At 48.9% G+C, this 27,958-nt stretch overlaps 1 long non-coding RNA gene across 1 annotated transcript, besides 6 other annotated features; it reads left to right on the top strand.

Annotated features, from left to right (window-relative positions):
• Positions 7,710–7,897: a silencer, noted in NCBI's record as "fragment chr9:100161577-100161764 (GRCh37/hg19 assembly coordinates)". NCBI's record gives its function as "represses an EF-1alpha promoter that drives an FKBP-Casp9 reporter gene in an ReSE screen in HepG2 liver carcinoma cells {active_cell/tissue: HepG2}" and the evidence as "EXISTENCE:reporter gene assay evidence [ECO:0000049][PMID:32094911]".
• On the top strand, positions 10,501–16,356 carry LOC286359 (uncharacterized). The gene is made up of 6 exons (NR_026847.1): positions 10,501–10,695; positions 11,016–11,142; positions 13,658–13,714; positions 13,828–13,963; positions 14,478–14,537; positions 14,914–16,356. It is a non-coding gene; the product is annotated as an uncharacterized LOC286359 (long non-coding RNA).
• Positions 18,189–18,338: an enhancer, noted in NCBI's record as "active region_28661". NCBI's record gives its function as "activates an Ori minimal core promoter by ATAC-STARR-seq in GM12878 lymphoblastoid cells {active_cell/tissue: GM12878}" and the evidence as "EXISTENCE:reporter gene assay evidence [ECO:0000049][PMID:35858748]".
• Positions 18,369–18,568: an enhancer, noted in NCBI's record as "active region_28660". NCBI's record gives its function as "activates an Ori minimal core promoter by ATAC-STARR-seq in GM12878 lymphoblastoid cells {active_cell/tissue: GM12878}" and the evidence as "EXISTENCE:reporter gene assay evidence [ECO:0000049][PMID:35858748]".
• Positions 18,619–19,183: an enhancer, noted in NCBI's record as "H3K27ac-H3K4me1 hESC enhancer chr9:100150291-100150855 (GRCh37/hg19 assembly coordinates)". NCBI's record gives its function as "activates a minimal SCP1, AML or CMV promoter by ChIP-STARR-seq in primed H9 embryonic stem cells {active_cell/tissue: H9 hESC(primed)}" and the evidence as "EXISTENCE:reporter gene assay evidence [ECO:0000049][PMID:30033119]".
• Positions 20,434–20,939: an enhancer, noted in NCBI's record as "H3K4me1 hESC enhancer chr9:100148535-100149040 (GRCh37/hg19 assembly coordinates)". NCBI's record gives its function as "activates a minimal SCP1, AML or CMV promoter by ChIP-STARR-seq in naive H9 embryonic stem cells {active_cell/tissue: H9 hESC(naive)}" and the evidence as "EXISTENCE:reporter gene assay evidence [ECO:0000049][PMID:30033119]".
• Positions 20,940–21,446: an enhancer, noted in NCBI's record as "H3K4me1 hESC enhancer chr9:100148028-100148534 (GRCh37/hg19 assembly coordinates)". NCBI's record gives its function as "activates a minimal SCP1, AML or CMV promoter by ChIP-STARR-seq in naive H9 embryonic stem cells {active_cell/tissue: H9 hESC(naive)}" and the evidence as "EXISTENCE:reporter gene assay evidence [ECO:0000049][PMID:30033119]".

Raw genomic sequence — 27,958 nt, 5'->3', positions numbered from 1 at the left:
GATTTTATATCTCATCTCCCTTGTGAACAACTTGAAAAGAGTTTACATTTTATTCATCTTTGGTTGCTGAGTTATTTGATTGCAAATAATTTTAACAATACCCCTATTTGAAACTAAACTACAGCATGTTTGAAATTATGTATACAGATGGAACCCAGCCACATGAGTACTTTTTGCTTACATAAGGTCAGGAAAAATAGATCCACGACAAAAGGAATCTTTGGACAGATCTACTTTTGGTTAATCATTAACACCATAATCACTGCCTCTCCCATCAGCTTTAATTGCCTCATGAACAAATGCAGAGGAATTTCTAGACAACTGCATTTGTTTCAACTGAGTAAGGAGAAAAGACAAAACAAAACAAAACAAAAAACAAAAGGCAGAGATTGCCGGAGCCCTGCTAAAATCCAGGCCCCGGTAAAGCTAAGGATGTGCTGATCAAGCAAAACCCCCTAATCTGCCCACAAAGCCCTCCAAGGTGAGTCAGCTGAAAGGGCCTAATCCCCAGAAGGGACTGATCACTAAAGCTTTAGAGGCCACACAGCCACAGCACACTGGAAAACAGGGGATAATGAAAGCTTAAAGGGATATTGTGTAGAGAAAGGTCATAGAACCAACAGAGGAGGGTCTTGGCTGTCTAAGAGGTCACCTTTGCCCTCTCCTGACTTGTAGTTCATTCATATAGCTCAGTCTTAGGACCCCAAAATAAGAATGATTCCAAGGATGTGGATATCGTTAAGAGTTAGCTGGCTTAGGGCCCCCGCTGTGGGGTGGGGTGTGGAGGTGAGGTAACTAATATTTTAAGCAAGGCAATCAACCACAATATGACTGATTTTGTAATAGTCAATAAACCAGATGGCACAAGAATTATACTGCAATAGCTGCTAGTGGTGAGGAATTGGGGAGGCAGTGAGGAGAAACTACATGGGTGCAGAGGAGGTGCTCAGTATAGGTGAGCTGACACTGAAAGAAGCAGACAGTATTCGAGAAGTGTGGGCTCCGATTAGAAGTGTACTATACAGGAAGAATCACTACCCGTTAGTTGCTTGCCCTGGATCATTTAGGACTTGACCTTTCGTTAAATTGGGAGGTTGCATAGAACTCCAGAGCCCTTTGGCTCTGGTTCTAGCCTTGGATTCCCTTATGTGGCAAAGTGAACACAGAAAGTAGTGAAAGAGGCTTCTCTTGGGGCTGTTTGGTCAATTTCTATTCATCAGTGGTTATCTATGGGAAATAACCACTCCCCATAGATACTCAACCACTCTTGAGACAGTGGGCTCTGCCCCAGTCCAAGCCCCCTGCCCCCAAGCCTGGGGCACGTTGTTTTGTACTTTTATGAGGTTATTTTTGGTTGTCAAAAAGATCAGGTGCACCTCCTGGCATTGAGTGGGTGGGGCTGGGATGCTTGTGGTACTTCCCCCATATCAGAGAAGTTCCCCTTGTCTCAACCAACATGTGGATGTCATGCCAGTCATCTATGTAGATGACAGACCTCTGCCTTATATATAAACACAAATAATTTTCCCCACAGTTTTACTATACAGTGAATTTTCCAATGCTATTTTTATCTGTGAATTTCACTTTAGGAAAGTAAATGAAGGGATTACAAAATATTTGTCATAAAACGGGGGTGCCAGGTCAGATAATACTGCTACTCGAAATCCCCCAACAGCCAACTCCACCCAGAGAGAAGCTGAGCAGGATATTCTTGTTTACACCAGTAGACATAGGGATACACAAATTTATCTTTACTAGATAAAATTACCTCACTTGCCCTAGTGCTCAGACCAGTTGAGGAAGTTAGAATCATTCTTTTTGGGGGTCTTTCTGGAGTTTACTTAGCCCCAAATTGTATTTCCCCTACCATAGGTACAAGAGATAGTCTTCTTCATCTTCCTCCCAATTCTCCCTCATCGCCTCACACAGTCTTTTTCATTTAAAACTGGACTCCTCACTCTCAGCAGCAACTTCCTTAAGACTGGATTTTTATATTTATAATTAGAAAAGTATAGCACCTGGGGGCTAGCAGTTGGCTAAGGAGGGCTAGCAAGCTGCTGGCTGGAGTAAGACAGTGCAGGAGATTTCCTCTAACGATGTGGTTCTTAATCTGAGAGTGATATGGTGTGTCAGCACTAACATGGTATTTTCCTTCCTTTGTACACTACAGGTTGAACTATAAGCTCACTTGTAAATATCACGGTAATTATGGGAGCTTTATTTACAAAGCTGTGTGTGTGTGTGTGTGTGTGTGTGTGTGTGTGTGTATGTGTGCATCCTTAGGAGTGGCGGCCCACATTCCTGGTGTGACTTGCTAGAGCTAGGGTAAGCAATAAGGACTTTGTCCTTCAAATATTAGGTTTTGTGTTCTGAGTGCTGATTTCTGCTTTTGATTTTTCAGGGGCCAGCACAGAGGCTGACAGCCATTGTTTCAACCTCCATGAGCTGAACCTCCAGGAAGCAGCTTCCTGGGGATTTAAAGAGACAATACTTGTGCTCCCACCCCCATGTCTTTTGGGAACCAGACATTTAAGGAAATCTTTGTCGGGTCACTGGTTGATTACAGAAATGATGGAACAGAAACTTTAGTGACCACAAACAACAATATATATCTTGCAAAAATAGTTTTAAAAAGTCATAAATAGATGACCCAGTCCTCATAAAGTACAAGAAATCTCTGAGGTATTGAAGAATTAGATATCCAGTTAGTGCAACATGGTATTTAAAATTTCTAGCTCTCAACAAACAATTACAAAACATACAAAAAAAGAGGAAAACATGGTCCATTCACAGAAAAAAAGAAGTTTACAGAAATCTTTTCTAAGAAAGACCAGACATTGGAATTATTAGTCAATGGCATTAAGTCAACTGCCTTAAATATGTTTAATGAGATAAGGAAAACCATAAACCAAGAACTAAAAGGAATCAGTAGAATTATATATGAACAAAGAAAGAATATCAATTAATAAATAGAAATAAAAAAGAACTAAACTGAAATTCTGGAGGTGAAAACTGTAATAACTGAAATGAAAAATTAACTAGAGGCATTCAACAGCAGGTTTGAGCAAGTGGAAAAAAGTGTCTATGAACTTGAAGACGGGGCAATTGAAATTATCCAGTCTGGGGAGCACAAAGACAAAAGAATAAGTAAAAGTGAACAGAGGCTAAGGGCCCTGTAGGACACCATCAAGTGAATCAAATTTACAATATGAGAGTTTCAGAAAGAGTAGAGAGAGTTGGGAAAGAAAGAACATCTGACGAAATAATGACTGGCAAATGTCCCAAATTCGATGAAAGAAATGAATCTACAGATCCGAGAAACTCAACAAACCTCCAAGGATAAACTCAACAAACTCCTAGGATAAACTCAAAGAGCTTCACCCCAAGACATATTATAATCAAAGTGTCAAAAGTCAGAGACAAAGAGAATCTTGAAAACAGAAAAAGAGAAATGATTAGTCACACACAAGGACTCCTCAATAAGATTAAGAGCTGCTTTCTCATCAGAAACCATGGAGACCAGCAGGCAGTGGAATGAAAAAGTGCTGAAAGAAAAAACTCAAGGAAGAATTCTCTCTCTGGCAAAACTATCTTTCAAAAATGAAGGATAAATTAAGACATTCACAGATAAAATCTGAGAACATTCACTGCCAGTAGACCTGCTCTCACAAGAAATGCTAATGGGAGTCCTTGGGGGCTGAAATGAGAGGACACTGGACAGCAAATTGAAGCCATATGAAGAAATAAAGATCTCTAGTAAAGATAACTGCATAGATTAATATAAAAACAGTATTGTTGCATTTTTGGTTTGTAACTATTTCCTATGCAGTTCAAAAGACAAATACATGAAAAGTAATTATAAATCTTTTAACAGGCATACATGTAAAATGTGTAATTTATGGCCAGGCACAGTGGCTCATGCCTGTAATCCCAGCCCTTTGGGAGGCCAAGGTTGAGCGACCACTTGAAGCCAAGAATTCAAGATCAGCCTGTGCAATGTAGAGAGACCCCATATCTAAAAAAAAAAAAAAAATTAAATTAAAAAAAAATAGCCAGGCATAGTGGCACATGCCTGTAGTCTCAGCTACTCAGGAGGCTGAGGTGTGAGGATTGCTTGAGCCCAGGAGTTTGAGGGTGCAGTGATCTATGATCACACCACTGCACTCCAGCCTGGGTGAACAGGCAAGACCCTGTCTCAAGGGAAAAAAAGATATTAATTGTGATAACAGCAACATAAAGGTAGGAGGGGATGAACCGTATAGGAGCAGAATTTTTGTGTGCTGTTGAAGCTAAGTTGGTATTAATTCAAACTAGACTGTTATAAATTTAGGATGCTACAGTGGACAGAATGTTTATTTTTTTTTTTTGTAGAGACAAGGTCTTATTATGTTGCTTAGGCTGGTCTCAAACCCCTGACCTCAAGCAATCCTCCCACCTCAGCCTCCTAAAGTGTTAGGATTACAGATGTGCGCCACCAGGCCTGGCTTGAAGTTATTTTTATCAAGATCAATTTTTTATGTAAATGACTTGATATTTTGGGGATCCACATCATAATTTACTGACTGTAGATTCTGCTATTGTAAGCTTTCTTTAGGGATTATTATTCCTACCAAGTCAATTTTCCTTGGTCAAATTATGCATATCAAAATGTTAAATATACTTTTCTTCCATCAATTTTCAGTCAATGATAAATTTTACCACGTGCAGTTTTAACCATTATCAGTTTTTGCTATAGACTGTTTGTGTCCCCCCAGATTCCTGTTTTGAAACCTGTCCCCCAGTATGATGGTATTTGGAGGTTTGACCTTTGGGAGGTGATAAGGTTGTGAGGGTAGAGCCCTCATGAATGGCATCAGTGCCCTTACAAAACAAGCCACAGAGAGCTCCCTTTCTGCCTTCTGCCATCTGAGGACACAGTGAGAAGACAGCTATCTGTGAACCAGGGGGTTGGCCCTCACCAGATACCAAATCTTCTGGGACTTTGAGCTAGGACATCCCAGCTTCCAGAACTGTGAGGAATAAATTTCAGTTATTGATATGTCATCCCGTTTATGGTGTTTTGTTGTAGCAGCCTGAATGGACTAAGTTTTATTTTGGGTGGATTCATTTTACTGGTAATATTTATTATGAGGGTCAAAGTGTCCTTGGGGTGAATACATTGTACTTTTAAAATTTACAGACATTCAATTTTGACCCAGCTTTTTAGGGACATGCTGCTTGTCTTAAAAGCTTCACAGCTCTCAGCCCCTCCCTGCCCCATTTATGAAACAGGAAAGGATGTTCTCAGATTTACTTACAAGGTACAAACAGATGAAAGCCAACACAGTGGTTCTAGACATTCTGCTAGGGAGTTGAAAGCAGGGGTCCCATTCATATATCCTGGTTTGGAACCAAGCTTTTTCTCTCTCTGTGAATGAATAAACAGTGAGAAAAGAGAGGCTGTGATAGGTAAACAAATGCCCAATTCATCTGAAAGCAACCCCATCCCTTCCTCTCTATCTTGGCATTTACTGTAGAGAGAGAGCACTGTTAGTTTCCACGGTTTTCATTCTCCTCTTATTCTTACATGCAGATGCTCAGTTTTATTCAGGACAGCAATTCACCAACTAAAAGACTAAAAAGTTCCCAACCTCTCTTGCAGCTAAGAATGACCTAAGTTCCAGCCAATTAGATGTGACCACAGTGTGGTGTGGGACTCTGGGGAGACTGCTCAGATGGAAGTGACCCAGCTGAGAGGGCCCCCTTTGCCCTGCCTTGCCTGCTCTCTGAAATGCAAAAATGGTGGCCGGTCGAGGCTGGAGCTCCAGCAGCCACATTGGACCATGAGACCGCATTGAGGATGGAAAGCACATACAAGATGCTCGAACAGAAACACATGATTTATAAACTTCTGTGGTGGTCAGTTCAAGGTCAGTATGGATGGCCTGTCTCTGTAAAGTATTGATCCTGGGTGTGTCTGTGAGGGTGTTGCCAAAGGAGATTAACATTTGAGTCAGTGGGCTGGGAAAGGCAGACCCACCCTTAATCTGGGTGGGCACCATCTAATCAGCTGCCAGCACAGCTAGAATATAAAGCAGGCAGAAAAATGTGAAAAGAGAGACTGGCCTAGCCTCCCAGCCTGCATCTTTCTCCTATGCTGGATGCTTCCTGCCCTCAAACATCAGATTCCTAGTTCTTCAGTTTTGGAATTTGGACTGGCTCTCCTCACTCTTAGCTTGCAGACAGCCTATTGTGGGACCTTGTGATTGTGTAAGTTAATGCTTAATAAACTCCCCTTTATGTATACATCTATCCTATTAGTTCTGTCCCTCTAGAGAACCCTAACTAATACATGTCACTATTATTTTAGGGATTCTAGTATATGTAGCCATAGTGAATGTTAACCAAATTATGAGTTTTGCCATTGCTCATTGTGTGACTTTGGACAAGACACCTACCTTCTCTGGGACATATATATCCCCGTGTGCCTAGTGGCAGAGGTAGATATGGGGTCTATATGTATGATTCTGAGATCGGGTGCTTTTATCTTTCTGACATCCAACTCATCTTCTATTGAAGACAGCACCTCAGTTTTTTTCTTAAGAAACTACCCCTCCCTGCCCTCACTCTTAGTGCTTAAGTGAGACTGACACCACTTCTTGGCTCCAGTGGTGAACATGTGACCCAGGCCCCTGCAAGTGTGGGAGGCACAGAGCTGGCTGCATGAGACCAACCTTGCCTGGGGCTCCCTTGTGTACTGCACTTGTGGACACAGTGAAGGAGGAACTCACCAGCATGTTCTCTTCTTGGTCCAGACACAGGGCCCCTTGAGCATGCCTGGCCATGGGCACTAGGCCTGGCTGTTATATGTGGTGTCCCTCAGCATCTGCCCGAGTTAGGGAGGCTTCTTCACCATATGCACCTGAGCCACCCCACCCTGACACCCCGTCCTGTATTGATGGAACTTGACGCTGCATCCTCACTGAGCACACTGAGGCAGTTTCACACCCATCCCCTCATTGTGCATTTGGGAAACCGAATTCCAGAAAGAGACAGGGCCTGGCTTAGACCACAGAAAATGCACAGAGTCTAAAAGGTAAGGGAGGGCTCCAGCTTCCTAGGCCAGTGCTGAGCCTCCTCCCAGAGGGAAAGAAGAAAGAGGTTGGAGGCAGCTCTGTTATGAGTCAGTGGCATCGGCAACATGCTCAGGAACCCAGGGCATGAGCAGGGCAGACATAGGGCTCCCTAAGGGCCCCAGCACAGCCTTGAGAGGCCAGGGCCGGGGTCCTCAGGCCATTGGTCTGGGCACCTGGAAGTAGGATGAGCCCTCCCTGCTAGTGCGGACAGAGACTATGGGAGAGAAAGCCTCCGTTTCCTCCTGTATTAATTGGGGTGCTTGGGTGAGTGACCCCAAGGGTTCCACATACTCAGAAAGTGTCTGTTGATATGGCTTATCCATCAGTGCCCATTGTGCTCTGAGACCCTGGGAAAATGCTCTCCACTCCCTGGACATCATTCAGAGCAGAGTTAGGTTTGGGGCTTGGGTGATGAGGGCTTGCTATAGGGCAGAGGGTGCCAGAGCGTCGGACACCGTGTCTGTGGTCCAGGAACGAGGCTGATCCTTGTTGGATCCTGAGTCTGCATTTGGAAGTAGGGGGAAGCATTGTCCTGGCCGAGATAAGGATGCTTGACGCCAAAGGAAGTGGAGGCAAAAAGGGGTCAAGGGAGGCTTCCGAGGTTCCTCACACTGCCCTTTGGAGCCTGCGGACCTGCTCCTTTGCCCCCTGGAGACCCCCAAAAAACCACTGCCTTGAGGTCAGCCAGCCGGAGTGTGTGACTTAAGTCGAGGCGCTCTGGCCTGGGGCTGCAGTGCTACGGCTGGCCACCAGGAGGCGGTCAGCCTCCTGTGTCCGCGGTGCCTACTCTGCTTTACCAGCAACTGGTGCCAGGGAAAAGTCACGCAGAGGTCACGCCTGCCGTCCTCCTTCCTCAGGTCTGACTCACACCTTTTATTTGCATTGATCATCTCCACAGTCTTAGCTGGTCAGAAGGTGGGGAGGTGGAAAGTCTGCGATCCTCCCATTTATTCATGCAGCAACTACGCCTGAGCACTCACCCTGTGCAGGTGCCCCAGTGGGCCCAGCATGCTGTGCTGAGATCAGCCAAGTGGTCCCTGCTCTCCAGGAGCTCACAGTCTGGAGGGGGAGATGGACAAAGGCATGTGAAAGAAAAGAGCAAGTGCTGTAGAGAAAATGAAGTCGAGTGCTGAGAGGTGGGCCTGGGAAGTCACTGGGTGGGCCTCAGAGGGGCCTTACTTTTATGCTGTGAGCAGAAGGACCAGAGGGAGCCAGCCCTGCACACATTTGGGAACAATGTGTCAAGGAGAAGGCACCACTGAAGCAGAGACTCCCAAACAGAGGTGGGTTTGGCAGAGGAGGTTAGAAAGAGCAAGTGTGTAGGCTGGGTGTGGTGGCTCATGCCTGTAATCCCAGCACTTTGGGAGGCCGAGGCAGGTGGATCACCTGAGTTCAGGAGTTTGAGGCCAGCCTGGCCAACATGGTGAAACCCCATTTCTACTAAAAGTACAAAAATTAGCCAGGTGTGGTAGTGTACACCTGTAATCCCAGCTACTTGGGAGGCTGAGGCAGGAGAATTGCTTAAACTTGGGAGGTGGAGGTTGCAGTGAGCTGAGATCGTGCCTCTGCACTCCAGCCTGGGCAACAGAGTGAGACTCTGTCTCAAAATAAATAAATAAATAAATAAGAAGAAGAAGAAAGAAGAGAAAGAGCCAGTGTGGCTTGGGGAGTGTGGCTTGGGGGAGCCCTGGAGGGAGGATGGGAGAGGAGGGAAATGATGGCAGGGCCAGATCCTGGGGCCTGGTAGACTAGGTGAGTTACCCATTCTTCTCACAACATTAGCAATGTGAAAGTACAAATATTTAATATCTCACAGTCTGTGGATCAGTAACCTGGGCATGGCTTACCTGGGTGCCTCTGCCTGAAGGTCTCCCATGAAGCTGGGACTGTGGTCTCAACCGAGGCTGGGCTGTGGGAAGAGCTGCTCCCAAGCTCACTCATGTAGGTATTGGCAGAACCAGTTTGGACTAAGCCTGAGTTCCTTTCTGTCTGTTGGCCTGGATGTTCCCCAGTTCTTTGCCATGTGGGCCTCTATGTCGGGTAGCTCCTGACATGAAAGCTTGCTTCCTCAGTTAGAGGACTGTGACAGAGGCAGCGAGAGGAGGAGGGACAGAGAAGGACAAGGAAAGGGAGGGAGAAACACAGGAGACAGCAAGTACGAGGGAATTGGTGCTTTTTTTGTAACTAAATATTGGAAGTTGCAATGGATTGAATGTTTACGTCCCCCAAAAGTCATGTGTTGTTAGCCAAATTCCCAATGTGATAATATTAGGAGGTGGGGACTTTGTGAGATAATTAGCTCATAAAGGTGGAGCCCTCATGAATGGGATTAGTGCCCTTTTCAAAGGGACCCCAGGGAGCTCCGTCACCCTTTTTCAACCATCTGAGGACACAACAAGAAGCTGGCAGTCTGCAACCCTGAAGAGGGACCTCGGCAAAACTGGACCATGCTGATACCCTGATTTCAGACTTCCAGCCTCCAGAACTGCAAGGAATACATTTCTGTTATTGGTGAGCCACCCTGTCTGTGGCACTTTCTTATAGCAGCCCTAACTGACTCAGACAGGAGAGACAACCCGTCACTTTGCTGTATACTCTTAGTCAGAAGGGGAGTCAGTAACCACTTTATGGTTAAACAAGGGCATGAATCCCAGCAGTGAGGTTCATTGCAAGCTGCTGTGCATGCATGCAGACTACCACATAGGCTGGGATGAGACACCTAGGTCTGATTCTAAATATAACAGGAAACCACTGGAAGGCTTTATGCCACAGGATGACCATATACCAGTTTCATTTTATGTTAACTCTCTCATGGTGCAGAATGAGAAATGAGGCCCAGAGTGGAAGTAACTTTTCCAATATTACACTGTTGGAACCCGGGCATGTCTTCAGTTTAAGTCCGTGCTGCATCCCATCTATCCTTATAATTCTTCCTTCTCTTGAGTTTGTGCATTTGTTACTTGTGACACCAACCTATGAGTGTTATGAGAATTATCTCATGTATGCCTGATGATGTCTCTGGGAAGCAGATGCTGGGATGATTTGCATTGTGCAGGTTAGGGGACTGGAGAGGCTCTGAGAGGTACAGTGAGTTTTCCAGGGCACAGAACTGGTAAGAAAAAGAAGGGTTGGAACCCAGCTGTATCTCCTCAAACCTAGGGCCCTCGCTGCATTTGGGTTTTCCCAGAGGGGGGATGTTGGCAAAATTGTGAACAGTTAAGGAGATGACATAGAGGAGGAGGGTGAGCAGTCAATGGCTCAGAGAGACCTTTGGGGAGGGAGCTCTTTGAAGGAAGGAGCCGAGGTAATGGAACCTTAGAGAAGTGACCTAACTTCCTTGGTGATAGGCCCCAACAGAACTTAGAACTTTGATAACCAGCACTCACATTCTAGAGACCCCCTGTCCAGCTCACTCGATGGGAGCCACTAGAGGGAATAAGATGTTCTCCTGCTGTATCCCGACTTTCTGAGGCTCTGACTCCAGGAAAGCCCGGCACGAGGGCCTTTTCCATTGCTGCAGGCTTTTTGGCTCAGCACTCACTTTTGGCACCTCTGGCCATTTGGCAGGAAGTACCCAAAGGTAACACAGAGAAGTCCGGGCCAGGCCACAACTGTGATCCCACCTGGGCAGCCCCACACCCCTCTCCATCGCCGTGTGTGTGGAGGGAGGCAGTGGAGGGAAGGCAAGGGATGAGCGTTGGGCCCTTCCTGGGCTGGAGCAGGTTGTTGGGTGTTGGAACCCTGGTGGGCCTGGCAAGATGGGAAGGTGAGTGCTGGGTGAAGGACATTTCCCCAGATGTTATCCTGTGCTCCTGAGACTTCAGCTCATTTCCTCTATGCAGTTGCCTACCTGTGCCTTATCTGGGGAGCAGAATTTCTAATGTGAGTTTCCCGCTGCGGTGATGGCCAGGCAGGGCCCTGATGTCTGATGATCTGGCTGCCGAGCATCATTTGTGCAGAGCTCCATGTGAGAGATCAGTGAGGAGCTGGTTGATGGGTTCAACTCCTCCATCTTCCTAGACAAGGGGTAGGTGCACCATGCCACCAATAATGACCAGCACTGGTCTGGAGTGAGAGCGGGCATGGGGGAGGGTGGTGGTGCTGGTGTCTCCACTGCCAGTATCACGAGATGAACAGCCCGGGTCCAGAACCCAGTTTTGTATACAAGGACTCCTGGGGTCTCTCAAGCAGGGCCTTCCCACTAGAGTGGCCCACAGTTCTACCCCGCAGAAATCTGGGCTGCCACTCCTCCTCCACCTGCAAATTGGTAAGGTGGAAAGACACTTCACACACTTGTAGGAATATCAGAGAAAAGACTTTTTCATTGTTTTCATATCACACCAGGCCATGAGCATTTTTGCATGTTGCTACTATTTTTGTTTTTTTAGCCACCTGCCCCAGATATCCCATGTAAGAATCAGCTCCCCTGCCCTTCCAGACCTGCTCCAAGCCTTAGAAATCATCAGGCTTAATAGGGTGGTTTATACACAAAAATGGAGGCGGTGGGGGTTGGTTCAGCTCTTCTTTATGTGTCTCTGCAACTTGTCATGTCCCAGAACACATCATCTTAGCCCACTAGGGCCAGAGCCTTGGCCTCACCTGTCTTCACAATATTCCAAAAGGAGGGCTTTTTTTTTTTTGCCACAGCAATTCCACCTTCCAATGCTGGTGGACCTGGATGTGATTCCATTCTGCTGCCATTTCAGCAGGGCTGCGGGGAACACCTTATGTGTGTCCTATTAGAGAGCACTGGCCTGCTAGGGCTGCCATAACAGTACCCAGATTGTGTGGCTTAAACAACAGAATTGGTTTTCTCACAATTCTGGGGCTAGAATTCTGAGACCAAGGTGTGGGCTGGGGCGGTTTCTTCTGAGGCCTCTCTCTGTGGCTTGCAGATGGCCGCCTTTTATCTCTGTGTTGACATTGTCTTTACTCTGTGCCTCATTTTTGTTGTCCTTGTTGTTTGTTTGTTTTTCTTGAGACAGAGTCTTGTTCTGTCGCCCAGGCTGGAGTGCAGTGGCTTGGTCTCAGCTCACTGCAACCTCTACCTCCCTACTCTGTGCCTCTTTGTGCCCTAATCTCCTCTTCTTATGAGGACATCAGTCAGACTGGATTAGAGTCCACCTCAATGAACTCAACCTTAATGACCTCTTTAAAGACTATGTCTCCAAATACAGTCACATTATGAGGTCCTGGGGGTTAGCACTTCAACATATGAATTTTGGGAGACATAATTTGGCTCATACCACATACTTCTTCCCTACAGAAGACAGACTCCAGGCATAGGGTTGCTGGTGGAAGGGTATGCATATGAGAAATCTTAAATCGCTTCAGCCAAATTACTTTCCAGAGAGGCTGTGGCAGTTGCGTTGCCACAGCAGTCTCCAATGGTGGCTGCTTCCCTGCATCCAGCCTGACAATGGGGGATGTCATTCATTTACATTCCTGATAATCTGGTGTCCATGTGGCAAATGCCACCGTATGCTTCCTTTGCTTTTTAATTTCCCACTTACAGGCTTGAGCACCTGTCAGTTGTTTGCCAGCCATTTGGATTTTCTCTTCCCCCAGTTGTCTGCTCGTGTTCTTGTTGCCGTGACAGCCCTTCTCGCACCCTGGAACCTCCAGGCATTCGCCCCTTTGCTGGATCTGGGATCCTCATAGCTCAGGTTCTCAAGACTGCCTTTATTGTAAAAGAAAGAAAATTAAGTGCCTTGCTTTGAAGTCTAAAGGACTCTCCTAGGGTGGGTGTTGTAGTCCATTTTGTGCTGCTGCAACAAAACACCATAGACTGGGTAATTTATATTGTACAGAAATTTATTTCTCACAGTTTTGGAGGCTGGGAAGTCCACAGTCAAGATGCTGGCATCTGGTGAGGGCCTTCTTGCTGCATCATCCCATGGCGGAAGGCTTCACAGGGCAGAAGGGCAAAGAGAGAGTGAGAGACAGCAAGAGGGGGCAGACCCACCTCCACGATACTCACATTAATCTACCCATGGTGGTAGAGCTCTCATGACCTAAACACCTCTTAAAGGTCCCATCTCCCAATATGGTCACAATGGCAACTACACTTCAACATGAGTTTTAGAGAAGACAAACATGCACACCATAGCAGTGGATCCACACTGTAAACTGGTCTCTCAACTTGGTGGGGGCAGTGGGGTGGGGAATGAGGTTCCCCCAGATCCTCTCCCTCCATGCCAGAAGAAGACTAAGCTTCAGGTAGCTTAGGGGGAAGGTGATGCGGCCCTAGCTTTGGGCAGTTCTTAGTTCTGTCTTGTGTGACCTTGAGCAGCCATTTGACATCCCTAAGCCTCTGTTTTCCATCTCAACAATGGGGATTTTTTTAGGACGCACTAGAGTGATGCTCTTCATACAAGCTCTTAATAGGGGAATGCTAACCTCTCTTGCTGTGGGCACTCACATCCCTCTTCACACACAAGTCCCCAAGGAGTTGGGGCTTCCTGGTCTGAGCTCTAGCTCACGATTCTCCTGGTGGTTTTTGGTGCTGCCTCTGACTCTGTGTCCTTCCTTGTCCCACTCAGTATAAAAATGAGTTAACCCTGCACCTGGGCGAGATCTGCACAATGTGGACCCTCCAGGTGGGCACTCAGGAGCATATGGTGGCATCCCTGGACCAGGCTTCCAGAGCAGACACATACCCTACAGCACCACCTTCCTGGGAAACCACTGGTTCTTCGTCTCTACCCCACAGTTCCTGGACTGGGTATTCAATAGGTGGGAGCCTGTCCCTTCGACAGCACAGTGGGGACTCTGCCACCAGCTAGCTGTGTGTCTCAGGAATTTTGCTGCACCTCTCTTAGCCTCAATTTGCTCCTCTGAGAAGAAAGGTGGTAAGAGGATGAATCTCACAGGGTTCTTGCAGGGACTAAATGGGGTGAGCCATGGCAGGTGCTGACCTGGTGCTTGGCTCTGTGGAAATGGCTGCCAGATGTGCTGTGGCTGTTATTTATTTTTTGAACACGAAGTAGCTCTCTGCCTCACTCATGGCCTTCCTATGTTTGGGAAAGCATATGGAAAGCAAACCTGTTTTCCCATTTGTGAAGAGGGTTTGAGTTTCCACATGGCTGATCCCTGTGCTTGGGGTACCCAGAACAGGGCTCCCTGGGGGCTGGTGGAGGGGCCCTACGCTAACTCAGATATCTGGGAAAATTCTGGTTGGGGTTCATTCTTTCAACAAATATACATTGAGCACCTACTTTGTGCAGGTACTTTTCTGCCTGCAGAAGGCACTCCCTGGGGATTGTCTGAATTCTAGCTGGGGAGTCATGGGTGCACTAGACATCATAAGCAGGCTGCGTCCACAGTATGTTGACATTGTGATGTCCTCCTGGCCTCTTCCAGATACACATGCATCCTGCCATATTCTGACAGAGATGATGGACCTCAGGATCAACTAAAAATGTCAGTGGACTTCAGGTCTAGAAGGACAGGCTCCTGTTTCCCCAGAACAGTTGGGGGCATATGGGAGTCTGTGGCTGGGGAGGGGCTGGCAGAACCCTGGATCTCATACATCTTAGGATTCCCATGAGAGGGCTGAGGTCTGGGGGCTTCCTCTGCAGGAGGAAATTAGTTAGTGAGAGTTATGGATAGGATCCAAGTCCCCTGGGAAGTGAAAGGGAGGCTGGGGCTCAGAGCCATCCCCACCACAGTCCCATCCCAGCTCTGCCCGCCTCCTTCCACATCCACCCCTCCAGACCCAACCTCTAGGGGACCTAGAACAGGAGCTGTAGTGAGCAACCCGCTCACACTTCTACCTCAAACCTCATTCCTGGTGCAGGTAGCCCTTCAGAGCAAGAGTCACTGGCAAGACCCAGCCCATGTAGGTTCTATGCCTGCCCTGCCTGAAGACCAGGGCTGTCTCTGCCAGGACAGTCACAGAGGGGTTGGGTGGGGCCGTCTCTGGACAGGCAGGGCAGGCACAGGGGCCCACATCCAAACAAGGTGCCCTAGAAGAGCAATGTGGAAGGAAAGGCCAGGTATGTGACTCTGCTGCCCCCCACCCCCACCCCCTAACACTATCTCTTCTATCCTGGGCACCTGGCCAGAAAAGTACCCTGAGGGCACTCCGGGGAAGGAGCCTGCTCCAGTGACAGCCCAAGATAGAATCAGTCCCAGAGCACTCCTGCCCCTAGCCTGGGACCATACAGAACTGGCCCAGTGAGGAGGTCCCCAGCCTCCTGGGGGATTCTTTCCTATGCTGGTGGCAGAGCAATTGACTCTGATGGATGCAATGAGCGCTGGGCTCTCAGGGCAGGGTTGGGACAGCCTCCCCTCTGGGACCTTTCCCTGAGCCTCAGTCGAATGATGCGGGCCCAATCCCATCTCCACCTCTTACCAACCATATGGCCTGGACTAGATTCTTAACCTCCAGACCTTCACTGTCCACATGTACAGGGCAGAGATGGGACATAACAGCACCTGCCACACACAGTGACTGTGCAGAATGAGAGGAGAGAGGGAAGGCAGGTCAGGGCCTGGTCCCTTTGTAGGTGGAGGGTGCTCACTGAGGAGCAGCCAGGTGCATGGGTTGCCCACTTGTGCTCAGGAAACCTCACCCACCTCAGCCCTTATTAGGCACCTAATGTGGATTCTAAGACAGACACTGAAACAAAGCTGCCCCTGGGGAAGACGACATGTATCCAAATGGGGAGACAGACTAGATGGCTGATCAAGAAGGAGACAGATGCCATCTGGGGAGGGACAGGCATAAGCCACTTTCTGGTGCTTGGAGTTAGTGAGGAAGGGCTGAGTGAAAATGCCACTCTCCTGTGCCTACCAATATTGGGTCCTGGGTCATCATGTGCTGGGTGCCCTCAGTGAACCACCATGTGATGCAGAGACCAGAGAGTGAAGGCCCGGGCCGGCGCAGGGTGGTGCAACTTTGAATCGAGGTGGCCAAGGTTTGCTGTGGGAGGCCCAGGGAGCTCCCGTCTGTGTCCCCTTCCAAATCTCATCTTGAATTCCCACGTGTTGTGGGAGGGACCCAGTGGGAGGTAACTGAATCATGGGGGCAGGTCTTTCTGTGCTGTTCTCGTGACAGTAAGTCTCACGAGATCTGATGGTTATTATAAGGGGGAGCTTTTCCTGCACAAGCTCTTTTTGCCTGCTGCCATCCATGTAAGATGTGACTTGCTTCTCGTCTTCCACCATGATTGTGAGGCTTCCCCAGCCACCAACCATGTGGAACTGTAAGTTTAATTAAACCTCTTTCTTTTGTAAATTTCCCAGTCTCAGGTGTGTCTTTATTAGCAGTGTGAAAACGGACTAATATGCTCCCTCTTGCAGCCTTGGGAATGGCCTCCTTGTCAGCTCTCAGGTGTGTGGTCTGTGGTCTAAGCCCCCACACAGTCCCTAGGCCTTCCTGTCAGGGGCATGCTGGCCTTGAACATGTGTCTCAGAGATGGGATGCTCACTTCCTACTGGGCTCCTTCCCTGTGAGTGTTGCTCACTAGGTCCCAGGTGTGCCCCTACTCCCTGTCACAGCTCCCCGGGGCTTCTGTCTCCTCCAGGAGGGGAGATGTCAGTGGAGGAGCTGGAGTGGAGCAGGGGGGATTCCAGCTCCCCACCTCCTGGCTCATTCTCCCTCCTCCCCAGGAGTGCTGAGTCCTCAAGAACTTCTCCTCACTCCACACCATCCTCTCTGCTCTGCAGAGTACCTCAATTCACATGGAGAGAAGTTTCCAGGTGAGAAGGCCTCTCTCTATAGGAGCACCAGGGTGGATCAGGGACATCCACGGGGCTGGGCTGGGCATTGCCTCTCAGTGAGCCTAGGAGGCACTGGGAGGCTGTGAACCCTTGAGGTAGGGACTGGGAACCTGGGTGGGGTCTCTGAGCCTCCCTGGGATCTTAGGCCAGCAGTTCTGCTTCAAATTAGGTTACCTTTCCTTACCTGTCAGATATAGGCTGGGGCCAAATCGGAGACTATCAAGAGCTTACCTCACAGCAACAAATTTCTCTGATGATTGAAATCAAAACTGGTCAAAACAGACCTGCTCAGCTGAAATGGGAGTGGGGGCCCAGTGGACCAACCTGAGACTCCCCTCCCCTCCCCAGTCTCATGGGGCCCTTAGACTCAGAGGAACCTGTTGGAACCTCTCATCTAGGGTGTTTGGGTCTGTGACTTCTTAAGTAAATGGGATTTGCACTCATACCCCTCCCCGTGATTCCCAAATTTCTCCTTCCTTCTTTCCCCTCTGCACAGGAACAGTCCCAGAAATTTCCAAGGTGTGTAAGATAGTGCACTGTGCAGGGTTCTGCTCACCATGGCAAAGTGGAGGAGGAGATGGGGGCAAGCCTTTGGGAGGGAGGGAACTGAGAGGGTGGAAGGACTGGACAGGGTGTGGTTTTTCAGTTTCTTATTGAGAGTTTCTTTGAAAATCTTCAGTCTCCATCTTTTCTGGATTCATAGCATCTTTTCTGGATTCATAGCAGAGGGACCCCTCTGGTCCATGGGCAGGCGGGGTGGGGGTGGGGGGCACTTCAGAGAGCAGGAGGTCCCAGCAATGGGTCATAGTGGTGGCTGTGCTGTGCTGAGCCAGGAGGGCTTGATGAGGTGGCAGATTGAGCAGGTCCCTGGCTTGGGTCCCTGGCTGGCCCATCGCACTGGCTGGTAGCCCCCTCCAGGCTGTTGGCAGATGGGGAAGGTAGAGGGTCCTCAGGAAGCTGGCCTCCAGCTGCTCTTCTGTCTGGACTGCAGCTCCAAGGGGAGGGGGCTCCCTGCCTGCACCAGGGATGGGCACTGCCGAGGAATCCCATAGGCCAGGTAGTCAAAAAGGCTGCCCAGCCATGGGTCCAAATGGCTAGAGTAGAGGACAGGTATGTGCACTCTGCAACTGCCCTCTCTGGCACCATAGCAGGCACTGCTGATCAGTCACAGATTCCGGCCCTGATGCCTCATTTGCAATGACACATATCCCAGATGGTTTATGAGGAGTATATGGGGACTAATGGATCCCCGGTGGCTACTTCCTGAGAGGATTTCACAAGCATCCACACAAAAGAGGAAGCAAAGTGGCCTCACCCATCACCCTGGGCACCCCTAGCCTGTCAATTAGAGATAGCACCTCGGAGTCCCCCTTCCTGAGTGGAGGAAGAAAGTGTTCTGTGCAGGGGAACTTCCTGGGGGTTTCCCTGGGGAGGTGGAGCCTTTGCATGGCCTCAGCCCAGCCTTTGGGGCAGAGAATCCTGTGGCTGAGGCAGGCAGGAGCCACTCATTTGGGCCTCCTGGGACTACCCTGTCTTCTCCCACCACGGCTGGGCCTGGCTGGGGGCCTGGACACACATCGAGAGCCCAGAGGATGGGACCCTGGTCAGCAGTGGTGCTGAGGGGCATGGTGAAGGCAGCTGGGATGGGGCCTCCAGCTAGGAGGAGGAAGCTGGCCTCTCCTATGGGGCCCTGGGCAAGTCACTCTCCTCTTTGGCCTCTGTTTTCTCATCTGAAAAGTGGAGGGATGATGGCCCTGTGGTGCAGGACTCACATGGTGACAATGGAGAGGAATGTGGAGGGCTTTGTGCCTGGCTCTGCCCTGGGGGAGGGGTGTGATGGCAGGAACAATGCTGTGAGTGCTAGGAACCAGGTGCTCAGGAGAGCCTGTGAGGCAGGTGGAGTTCCTGCCGCACTTTCCCAGAGGAGGAAACACACAGGTTCAGGGAGGCCAAGGGAGTGAAGCTGGAATCAAAGCGCCCCAGAAGTGGTGGCAGTAGTACTAGTACCAGCTGATCTGGCCAGGTGTCCAGGGCCCCAGGGTCAGGGGGCTGGGAGAATAAAGGGGTGAAGAGGATATCCTCACTGACCTTGCCCTCGACCCTGGCAGGAGGGGACCTTCAGGGTGGCCACCCTGGAGATGGAGCCCCAGAGAGCCCAGAAGAGGCAGCAGCTGCAGGTGGGGTGGGAGAAACTCCTGGGAGTCAGAGGGCAGGACTCCTCCCTCCCAGCGTAGGCCTCACATCAAGAGAGGAGGGGGCCTTGCTTCTCCAGCAGTGCCTGAAATGCCTCCAACAGAAGTGGCCAGAGCAAGGGTCAGGGAGAGCTGGGCTGGCGCAGAGGGTGGAGATGGTGGGTTGGAGAGGAGCAGGGAGAACCAGGGCTGGCCCCTCACAACCTTTGTGATTGCCAAAGCCGGCTGTAGGAGTGGCTACAGCGAGTTTGCTAGACGCAGAGAGGTGTGGGGACGGGTTTTGGGTGGGGGCAAATCTTGGCTGCTCCACGTGGGAGGCCTGGGTGGGTCCGGGAGGCTGAGTGTGAGGGATTTGATTAGGTAATTAGGGAGCTGCAGCTGCCCCAGGTGGCTGCAGATTGTTTGATCTGATCAACCCGAGGGCGGTACCGGAGAGCCAGTGCTCATCAACACCCCACCCCATGGGCACAGGGTCCGACCCCTCCTTGGCCCATTCCATCTGACCTGGTGATGCTGGGCACTGCGATGAAGGATTATCCAGATGCGATTGAGGCTGGGGAGGGGCAGGGCGGGGCCAGGGTCCTGAGCTTGGGAGGAGAGAGCCCCTCACCGAGTCTTGAGCTCTCGGCAAACCTCCTCTTAGGCGGTCCTCACACTTCCCCTGTGAGCCGGGCGTCGCGCCCACCGTATTGATGAGGGGAACGGAGGCTCCACGGAGCCGCCAGACCCCGTTCCCCGTGTAGTGAAGCGGCCCAGCTGCCTCGCTGCCCAGCTGCAGGAGATTGTAGCTGCGCTGGAGTCAGACGCTCCCTCGGGCGCTGTCCATGGTGGCAGGAGAGTGAAGTTAGAGAGCACGGGAGTAGGTGAACAATCCCTTCCAGCTCGATGCCTCGGTTTCCCTGTCTGTCATCAGAGAGGGCTGGGCTCTAAAGTCCCTGAGCCTCCGCTGCCGTGACCGCCTCCTCTGGAGCCTAGTCTGACCCAGGTTCAAGTCCCATTTTGTATGCACGCCCTGCCCCCTGGTGGACCCTGTTGGTACTGCAACGTGAGAGGAATGTGGTCGGGAGGTGGTCAGGGGCCAGGGACTTTTTGATGGGCTTTGGCTGTGTGACTTCCAGGCAAATCTGATCAACTTCCAGGAAAGGAGTTAGGTAAGCAGCTGTGGCATTCACTGCGGGAGGCTGGGGGCGTGGAAGTCGGAGACTCCCCGCCTGCCAGACACTCCCTGGACCCATCCCCTACATCTTAGACTCATTGGGAGGGCTTGATACAGAGCAGAGGAGGAACCATCCCACTGGAGGGTGGGGGTAGGCGCTGGAATCAAGGACAACTTCCTGGAGGAGGGACTGTTTGAACCCAACTCTGAGAACAAGTAGGGACTGGATGGGATTGGAGTGGAGGTGGGAGCCTCTTAAAAGCAAAGACCTAGAGAGGCCAAGACCCTTAGCCCCACTCCACACCCCCACCAGGGCTCCTCCAGCACCCCCCACCGGGCCCTGTCACCCTGCTGTTCTTCCCTCTGGCACCAGGAATGCACAGTAATTAGGGAGCTGCAGCTGCCTCAGGTGGCTGCAGATAATTTCCACCTGAGGACTTTGGAACCTGGTTCCAGACCATGGAGCAGCTCAGTGAGGATGAGAGATCAGGCTGGGGAAGGACTTGGGTGAGGGCAGGGGTCGACTCTCTCTGGTGGCCAGTAGCAGGAAGCCTGAAGCTATGGCTCCTGGTCAGAGTCATCCTCTAGTATGTGGTGACAGCTGGGCCATCCAGACTGCAGGTGCTGGGCAGGCATTGGGAGGGAGAGCTGAGGTGTGGCTCCAGGTAGTCTCAGGGCTGCCACCCTGTCCTGTAGCTATAAGCAGTCCTGCCAGTCAGAACCACCACCTGAGTCAGCCAGCAACGGCCTCAATGCCAAGGAGAAAAGGCCACAGTCAAGCTCAGGTGCCTGTGAGTGACCTGGTGTACTGGGCGGACTGTCCCAGGGCTCAGTGCAGCTTTGGGCTAAGTGTGGGTTTGGAGTGTCGGACAGCTGGCACTGGGCTCCCGGCTCCATCACTGAACAGCCCTGTGGCTGGGGCAGGGCACCTCACCTCTCAGGGCCTCGCTTTCCTCCTCTATGAAATGGGCTGATGCTAAATGATCACTCTCGGGACCGGGACACCAAGCACGCAGCACAGTGCCCGGAGCACAGAGTGAGAGTGGGTGGCAGGGTAGTCTGAGACCCTGGGGTAGTCCCCTCCAGGTCATCCTGCCCTCCCATCCAGCCACCAGGCCCCCAGAGCAGAGCCCTGGACCAGTGGCTGGACAGACACGAGGCACGCTCAACTGTGACCCCTACGTACGCAGCAGGGCACAGCTGGGCCCCCCAGGGACCCTGGGCCGGCTCCTCCAGCCCAGATGAGAAGGACAGCAAGGTGAGTCTTTTTCTGGGATCCCTTGAAGCCCAGGAGAACATGAGACACTCCTGTCCCCGCTCCCTAAGAGCTCTCCCCCAGCCCTGGCTGCTTTGAAGAGGGGCAAAATTTATTTACTATAAAAATGGATACAATAGAGATGAATACTGTATTAAAATCCTGTTTCTGTTACAGCCTAGGAGCTGTGGTTTTGTTCTTTCACTTCCTGTGTTAATTGGAGATACAGGCTCTCATATCCCTCCTAGAGATGAGGCATCTTGCAGGGGTGCCTGTGTGTTGACTGCAGGAGAAGGGAGATGGGAGAAAAGTAGGACTTCCTCAGGGCCCATGTTCACTTCTGTATCGTCAGCTTGGGCAAGAAGCAGAGACAGCCCCTCAGAACTCCCAGGTTAGCAGCTGAAGGGGCTTTCACACGGCATAGCAGCACCCTTGGGAATCTGGGTGTCTTTAAAAATACCCTTCCAGGGACCATTTCCTGACCCAAGACAGTGGCTACCTTTCTACTGCTTTGGAGGAAGAGGGAACATGTTGATTTGCTTACTGAGGTTTCCTTTGATCAACTATTAGGGACTTGTAGTTTTCTTGTTCAAACACTGGAATTGCATCAGTACTAAGTGTGTATGTGTGTATGTGTTGGGGCGGGGGGAGTGTAAAAAGATCCAAATGTGTAATGTGGAAAGGATAAGGCCAAAGGAGGATTATTTGCAAATGGACTTAGGGCAGGCTGGACATTGCATCTTCAGTTCACTTCCAGGAGAGCCGTGAGTGACCCTTGACCTTAGATTTGACTCCTCCTGGGATTCTGTCTTTGACCTTAGCACTTCTTTTCTTGCTGGTTTCTTATCCAGGGGGAAAGATTTTGCAATGCAATTTTTAAGGCTGCAGCTGGGCCTCATTGCATAAACATTGCTACTACCTAAGATCTAGGATTTCCAGCATCCCTGCAATTCCTGGTATAATTCCTTTCAAGGCGGAAATTCCCTAGAAGACTCCCAGCCTCTCTGTCAGGCACATCCTGGCCATTCCTTCCTGGCTGGAGCCTGATGAACCACAGGTGAGCTCTGGTTTGCCAGGATAAGGGTACTTATTCCTTGTCAACGACAGACCCCACACTCCCATACTGGCCAAGGTGAAGTCTGGGGTCCTGTGTTCCTGAGGTCCAAGGTCTTGGGGGTCCCCTGTTTACACACTCAGTTGTGTTGTTACTGACTTGTCCTAAGGGCAAGCTGGCCCGAGTCCTTAGAGCTTACAGCCCCCTGGATGGCTTTATCCTCTGTCCAGTCTTGTACTGTGGTTATTTCATGGGGCAAAGTGGGCAGGAGTGGGGGGGACTGTGAACTTTTCCCGTGGGGAGAGTTGAAGGTGAGGCATTAGGGGGGCAGTGAGTGGGAGGCATGGGAGGGCCCAGCAATTAGGCAAGAAAATAAAATGAAAGGCATTCAATATGTAAGATATAGGGAAAAAGTGGTTTTTCCCTCTACTCACACACCACTCAATACAATACGTCTGATAACGGATGTGTGAAGGTCATTTCCCCATACATCAAGCAATTCTGCAGTGTATTAGGCAGTGAATTAGGCATCCTCTAATTCAATTCCATTCTGATACTATCTACCTGGAGACAGGCTGAGTGCCCAGTCCCACAAGACTGCCCTCCACTTCAGATGCCCGTAGCAAGTAGTAGGCTGTCACCTGGTTAATACATTCTTTAGAAACTGGCTGTAAATCAGGGTTCCTGTAACTTCCTTCTTGGGCTTGATTAATTTGCTAGAGCAGCTCACAGAACTCAGGTAAACACTTTACTTACATTTAGTTGTTTGTTTATTTACTTATTGAGACGGAGTCTCATTCTGTCGCCAGGCTGGAGTGCAGTGGCGCTCTCAGCTCACTGCAACCTCTGCCTCCCGGGTTCAAGTGATTCTCCTGCCTCAGCCTCCTGAGTATCTGGGACTACAGATGCATGCCACCGTGCCCAGCTAATTTTTGCATTTTTAGTACAGATGGGGTTTCACCATGTTGGCCAGGATGGTCTCGATTTCTTGACCTTGTGATCCGCCCGCCTCAGCCTCCCAAAGGGCTGGGATTACAGATGTGAGCCACTGCACCTGGCCTACTTGTTTATTAATAAAGGATGCAGATAAACAGCCAGATGGAGGCAATACATAGGGCAGGGAATGGAAGAAGGGGCACGGAGCTTCCATGACCTTTCTGGGCGTGCCTCCCTCCAGGAATCTCCATGTGGCCAGCTATCTGGAAGCTCCCAGAATCCTGTCCTTTTGGGGTTTTATGCCTCCAAACTGATGATCCACAGGCATGCAGGGATACAGCCATACCAACTAAAATACTGAAATGCTTCCAATCAGGGTGGTAAACAGGCACTGCCCTGCACTCACCCCAAGTGCTTCCCCTCTGCTTCTCTGACTCTGTTCATTCCCCTCCCTGTTGTTTAGATTGGTCATTTCTGTTGTTCTTTTTGTTCATAGATTCTTTCTCCTCACTTTTGAAACCTGTTGAGCCTACACATTGAGTTTTTAAATTTTGGTTATTATATTTTTCAGTTGAAGCTTCCACTTGGATTTCTTTCTTCTATTTTTTTGTTACGATTTTCTAATTTTTCATTTGTTTCAAGTGTGTTTATAATTGCTTATTAAAACATTATTATTATGGCTATTTCAAACCACTGTCAGATAATTCCAACATCTGGCATCTTGGTATTCACACATACTGATTGTCTGTTCTCATCCAAGTTGAGATCTTCCTGATTCTTGGTGCGATTTTCTGGTGTGTTCTGCATAACTTCCTTGACTGTAGAGCCCTTGGTGGAGGGGGTCTGCAGACTTGAGGAAGGCCTTCTAAACCTAGTGCCAGGGGCTTCACTTTCCTTACCTAAAAAACAAGCTTCTCACTGGAGCAAGAGCCAGCATTCTCCAGGGTGCCAAGAGGGGGTCTCTTGTAAAGCTCAATGTAGACCCAGACATTTGTCTTGGCCCTGTTGGGCCTTGGCACCTTGGCAGCAACAGGGTACAGTTTAAGAGGATGAACTTGAAGTCTTAGTCCAGTTTCTAGGAGCCTCTTATAAAAAGAAAATTAAGTTTCAGGATCTTCCAAATTTATTATGCCAAAGGGAAAAGTCCTGGAAGCTGACTCACATAATATGACTGTTTTTCTTCTTTGGTGCATGACCTTTACTTTCTGACCTTTGCATTGAGATGTTATACATTAACCAGACTCTCTGCTCTTTATTCAAACCTAGACTAAAAGAGGTGCAGACAGAGACCCTTGGGACTGTTGCCTTTTTACAATAGAGTGTTAAACAACTCTCTTAGAGTGTAGTCAGTATATCCATATGTCAGCCTTTGTACGGACAGTGCTGTAGTTCTGTTCAGCACCTCTGTTTTGCCTGTATAAATGGTCCTCATTTTTCCCCACACACTGAAGCACTGATCACCATTCTTCATTGTAGCTCTGCTCCCCAGATGGCCACCTTCACACTGTGTGCTTGAATAAACTCTCTTTAAATCAGATCGTAACCTTTTAAATTATTTTAGATTGACACTCTGGATCTCAAGCTGGTTCTGCCTATGATTTGTTGGTGACTTTGAACAGTAACAGTGAATGTAATACACCATATCAACAGGATTAGAAACAAATATCACTTTTTTTTTTTTTTTTGAGATGGAGTCTTGCTCTGTCGCCCAGGCTGGAGGGCAGTGGTGCGATCTCAGCTCACTGCAACCTCTGCCTCCTGGGTTCAAGCAATTCTCCTGCCTCAGCCTCCTGAGTAGCTGGGATTACAGGCACACACCACCATGCCTGGCTAATTTTTGTATTTTTAATAGAGACAGGGTTTCACCATGTTGGCCAGACTGTCTTGAACTCCTGACCTCAGGTGATCCACCTACCTTGGCCTCTCAGAGTGCTGGGATTACAGGCATGAGCCACTAACACGTGGCCTAAAAATCACATTTTCAAAAAGCATCACAATCGATGCAGGAAAGGCAATTGACAATATCCAATATCACTTCATGATAAAAACTCAACAAATAAAAAACAGAAGGGAATTTCCTTGGCATAGTAAAGAACACCAGAAGAAATCCACAGCTAACATGATGCTGAATGGTGAAAGACCAGATGCTTTCCTTGCATGAACAGGGACAAGACAAGGATGTCAGCTCTTGACACTTTTATTCAACATTGTACTAGAGGTTTTAGCCTGGGCAATTAGGCAAGGAAATAAAATGAAAAGGCATCCAATATGTAAGATATAGGGAAAAAGTGGCTTTTCCCTCTACTCACACACCACTCAATACAATACGTCTGATACCGGATGTGTGAAGGTCATCTCCCCACACACCCAGCAATTCTGCAGTGGGCATTAGGGGTCCTCTAATTCAATTCCATTCTGATATCGTCTACCTGGAGACAGGCTGAGGGCCCAGTCCCACAAGACTGCCCTCCACTTTTAGATGCCAATAGTGAGTAGTACTTGAGAAACTTTAGATGCCAGTAAGTGAGTATTCTTGAGAAACTGGCTCTAAATCAGGGTTCCCATAACTTCCTCCTTGGGTTTTATTAATTTGCTAGAGCAGCTCACAGAACTCAGGGAAACACTTTACTTACATTTACTTGTTTATTAATAAAGGATACAGACAAACAACCAGATGGAGGCGATACTTAGGGCAAGGAATGGGAGAAGGGGCACGGAGCTTCCATGATCTTGCTGGGCATGCCTCCCTCCAGGAATCTCCATGTGGCCAGCTATCTGGAAGCTCCCAGAATGCTGTGCTTTTGGAGTTTTATGGATGCTGCATTACATAGGCATGATTGACTAAATAATTGATCATTGATCATTAGTTGATAACTTAGTTATCAACTCCTTGGGGTTTGGGGCTGAGAGTCTCAGTCCTCTAACCATGCCTTGATCTTTCTGTTGACCAGCCCCTGTCCTGAAGCTGTCCAGGGGTCCCCAGCCACCAGTCGTCTCATTAGCATACAAAAGACACTCTTATCACTCCAGAGATTCTAAGGGTTTTAGGAGCTGCACATCAGAACATGGGGAAGAAAACCAAACATGTATTTCACTATATCACAGGTGCCAAGACAATTTAATGGGGGAAAGATCAGTATTTTCAAGAAATGGTGCTGGAACAACTGGTAGCCAAATGCAAGAGAATAAAGTTGAACACTTACCGCTATGTACAAAATTAACTTAAAATGGATCAAAGACCTAAGTAGAAGAATTAAAACTATACAACTCTAGGCTGGGTGTGGTGGCTCACGCCTGTAATCCCAGCACTTTGGGAGGCCGAGGCAGGTGGATTATTTGAGGTCAGGAGTTCGAGACCAGCCTGGCCAACATGGTGAAACCCCATCTCTACTAAAAATACAAAAATTAGCTGGGCAGTAGTGGTGCATGCCTGTAGTCCCAGCTACTCGGGAGGCTGAGGCAGGAGAATCGCTTGAACCCGGGAGGAGGAGGTTGCAGTGAGCTAAGATCACACCACTGCACTCCAGTCTGGGCGAGAGAGTAAGACCCTGTCTCAAAAAAGAACAAACAAACAAATAAAACAACTATACAGCTCTTAGAAAACAGCAGTAAATCTTTGTGACTTTGGCTTAGGCAATGGAGTTTTAGATACAACACCAAAAGCACAAGCAACCCAAGAAAGAATAAACTGGACTTCCTCAAAATTATAAACTTTTGTGTATCAAAGGACACTATCAAGAAAGTGAATTACAACTGATCTAGAGATAATTTTGTAAGTGAAAACAACATACAATTGGGAGAAAATATTTGCAAATCATATGTCTGATAAGGGTCCAGTGGCTTGAATATATAAAGAACTCTAACAACTCAATAATAAAAGTAATCTAATTAAAAATTGATAAAGAACTTGAATACATTTCTCCAGAGAAGATATTCAAATGGCCAATAAGCACATGAAAAGATACTCAACATCATTAGTCATCGCAAATGCAAATTAAGACTATAATGAGATACAACTTCACACCTACTGGGATGGTTATCATCCAAAAGTCAGATAATAATAAGATTTGGCAATGATGTGGAGAAATCAGAGCCTTTATATACTGCCAAGACTGATATAAAGTGGTACAGCTACTTTGGGAAACAGTCTGGCACTTTCTCAAAAAGTTAAGCATACAGTTACTTTTTTTTTTTTTTTTTTTTTTTGAGACAGAGTCTCGCTCTGTTGCCTAGGCTGGAGAGCAATGGCATGATCTCGGCTCACTGCAACCTCCCCCTCCTGGGCTCAAGCAATTCTCATGGCTCAGCCTCCCAAGCAGCTGGGACTACAGGTGTGCACCACCACCCCTGGCTAATTTCGTATTTTCAGTAGAGACAGGTTTCACCATCTTGGCCAGGCTGGTCTCTTAACTCCTGACCTCAAGTGATCCACCTGCCTCAGCCTCCCAAAGTGCTGGGATGACAAGTGTGAGCCACTGTGCCCAGCCTAGAGTTACTTTTTGACCTAGTAATTGGTATATACCC

The sequence above is a fragment of the Homo sapiens genome, chromosome 9, assembly GCF_000001405.40.
Source record: "Homo sapiens chromosome 9, GRCh38.p14 Primary Assembly".
NCBI lineage: Eukaryota > Metazoa > Chordata > Mammalia > Primates > Hominidae > Homo > Homo sapiens.
This window is presented reverse-complemented; position numbering and strand designations above follow the sequence as displayed.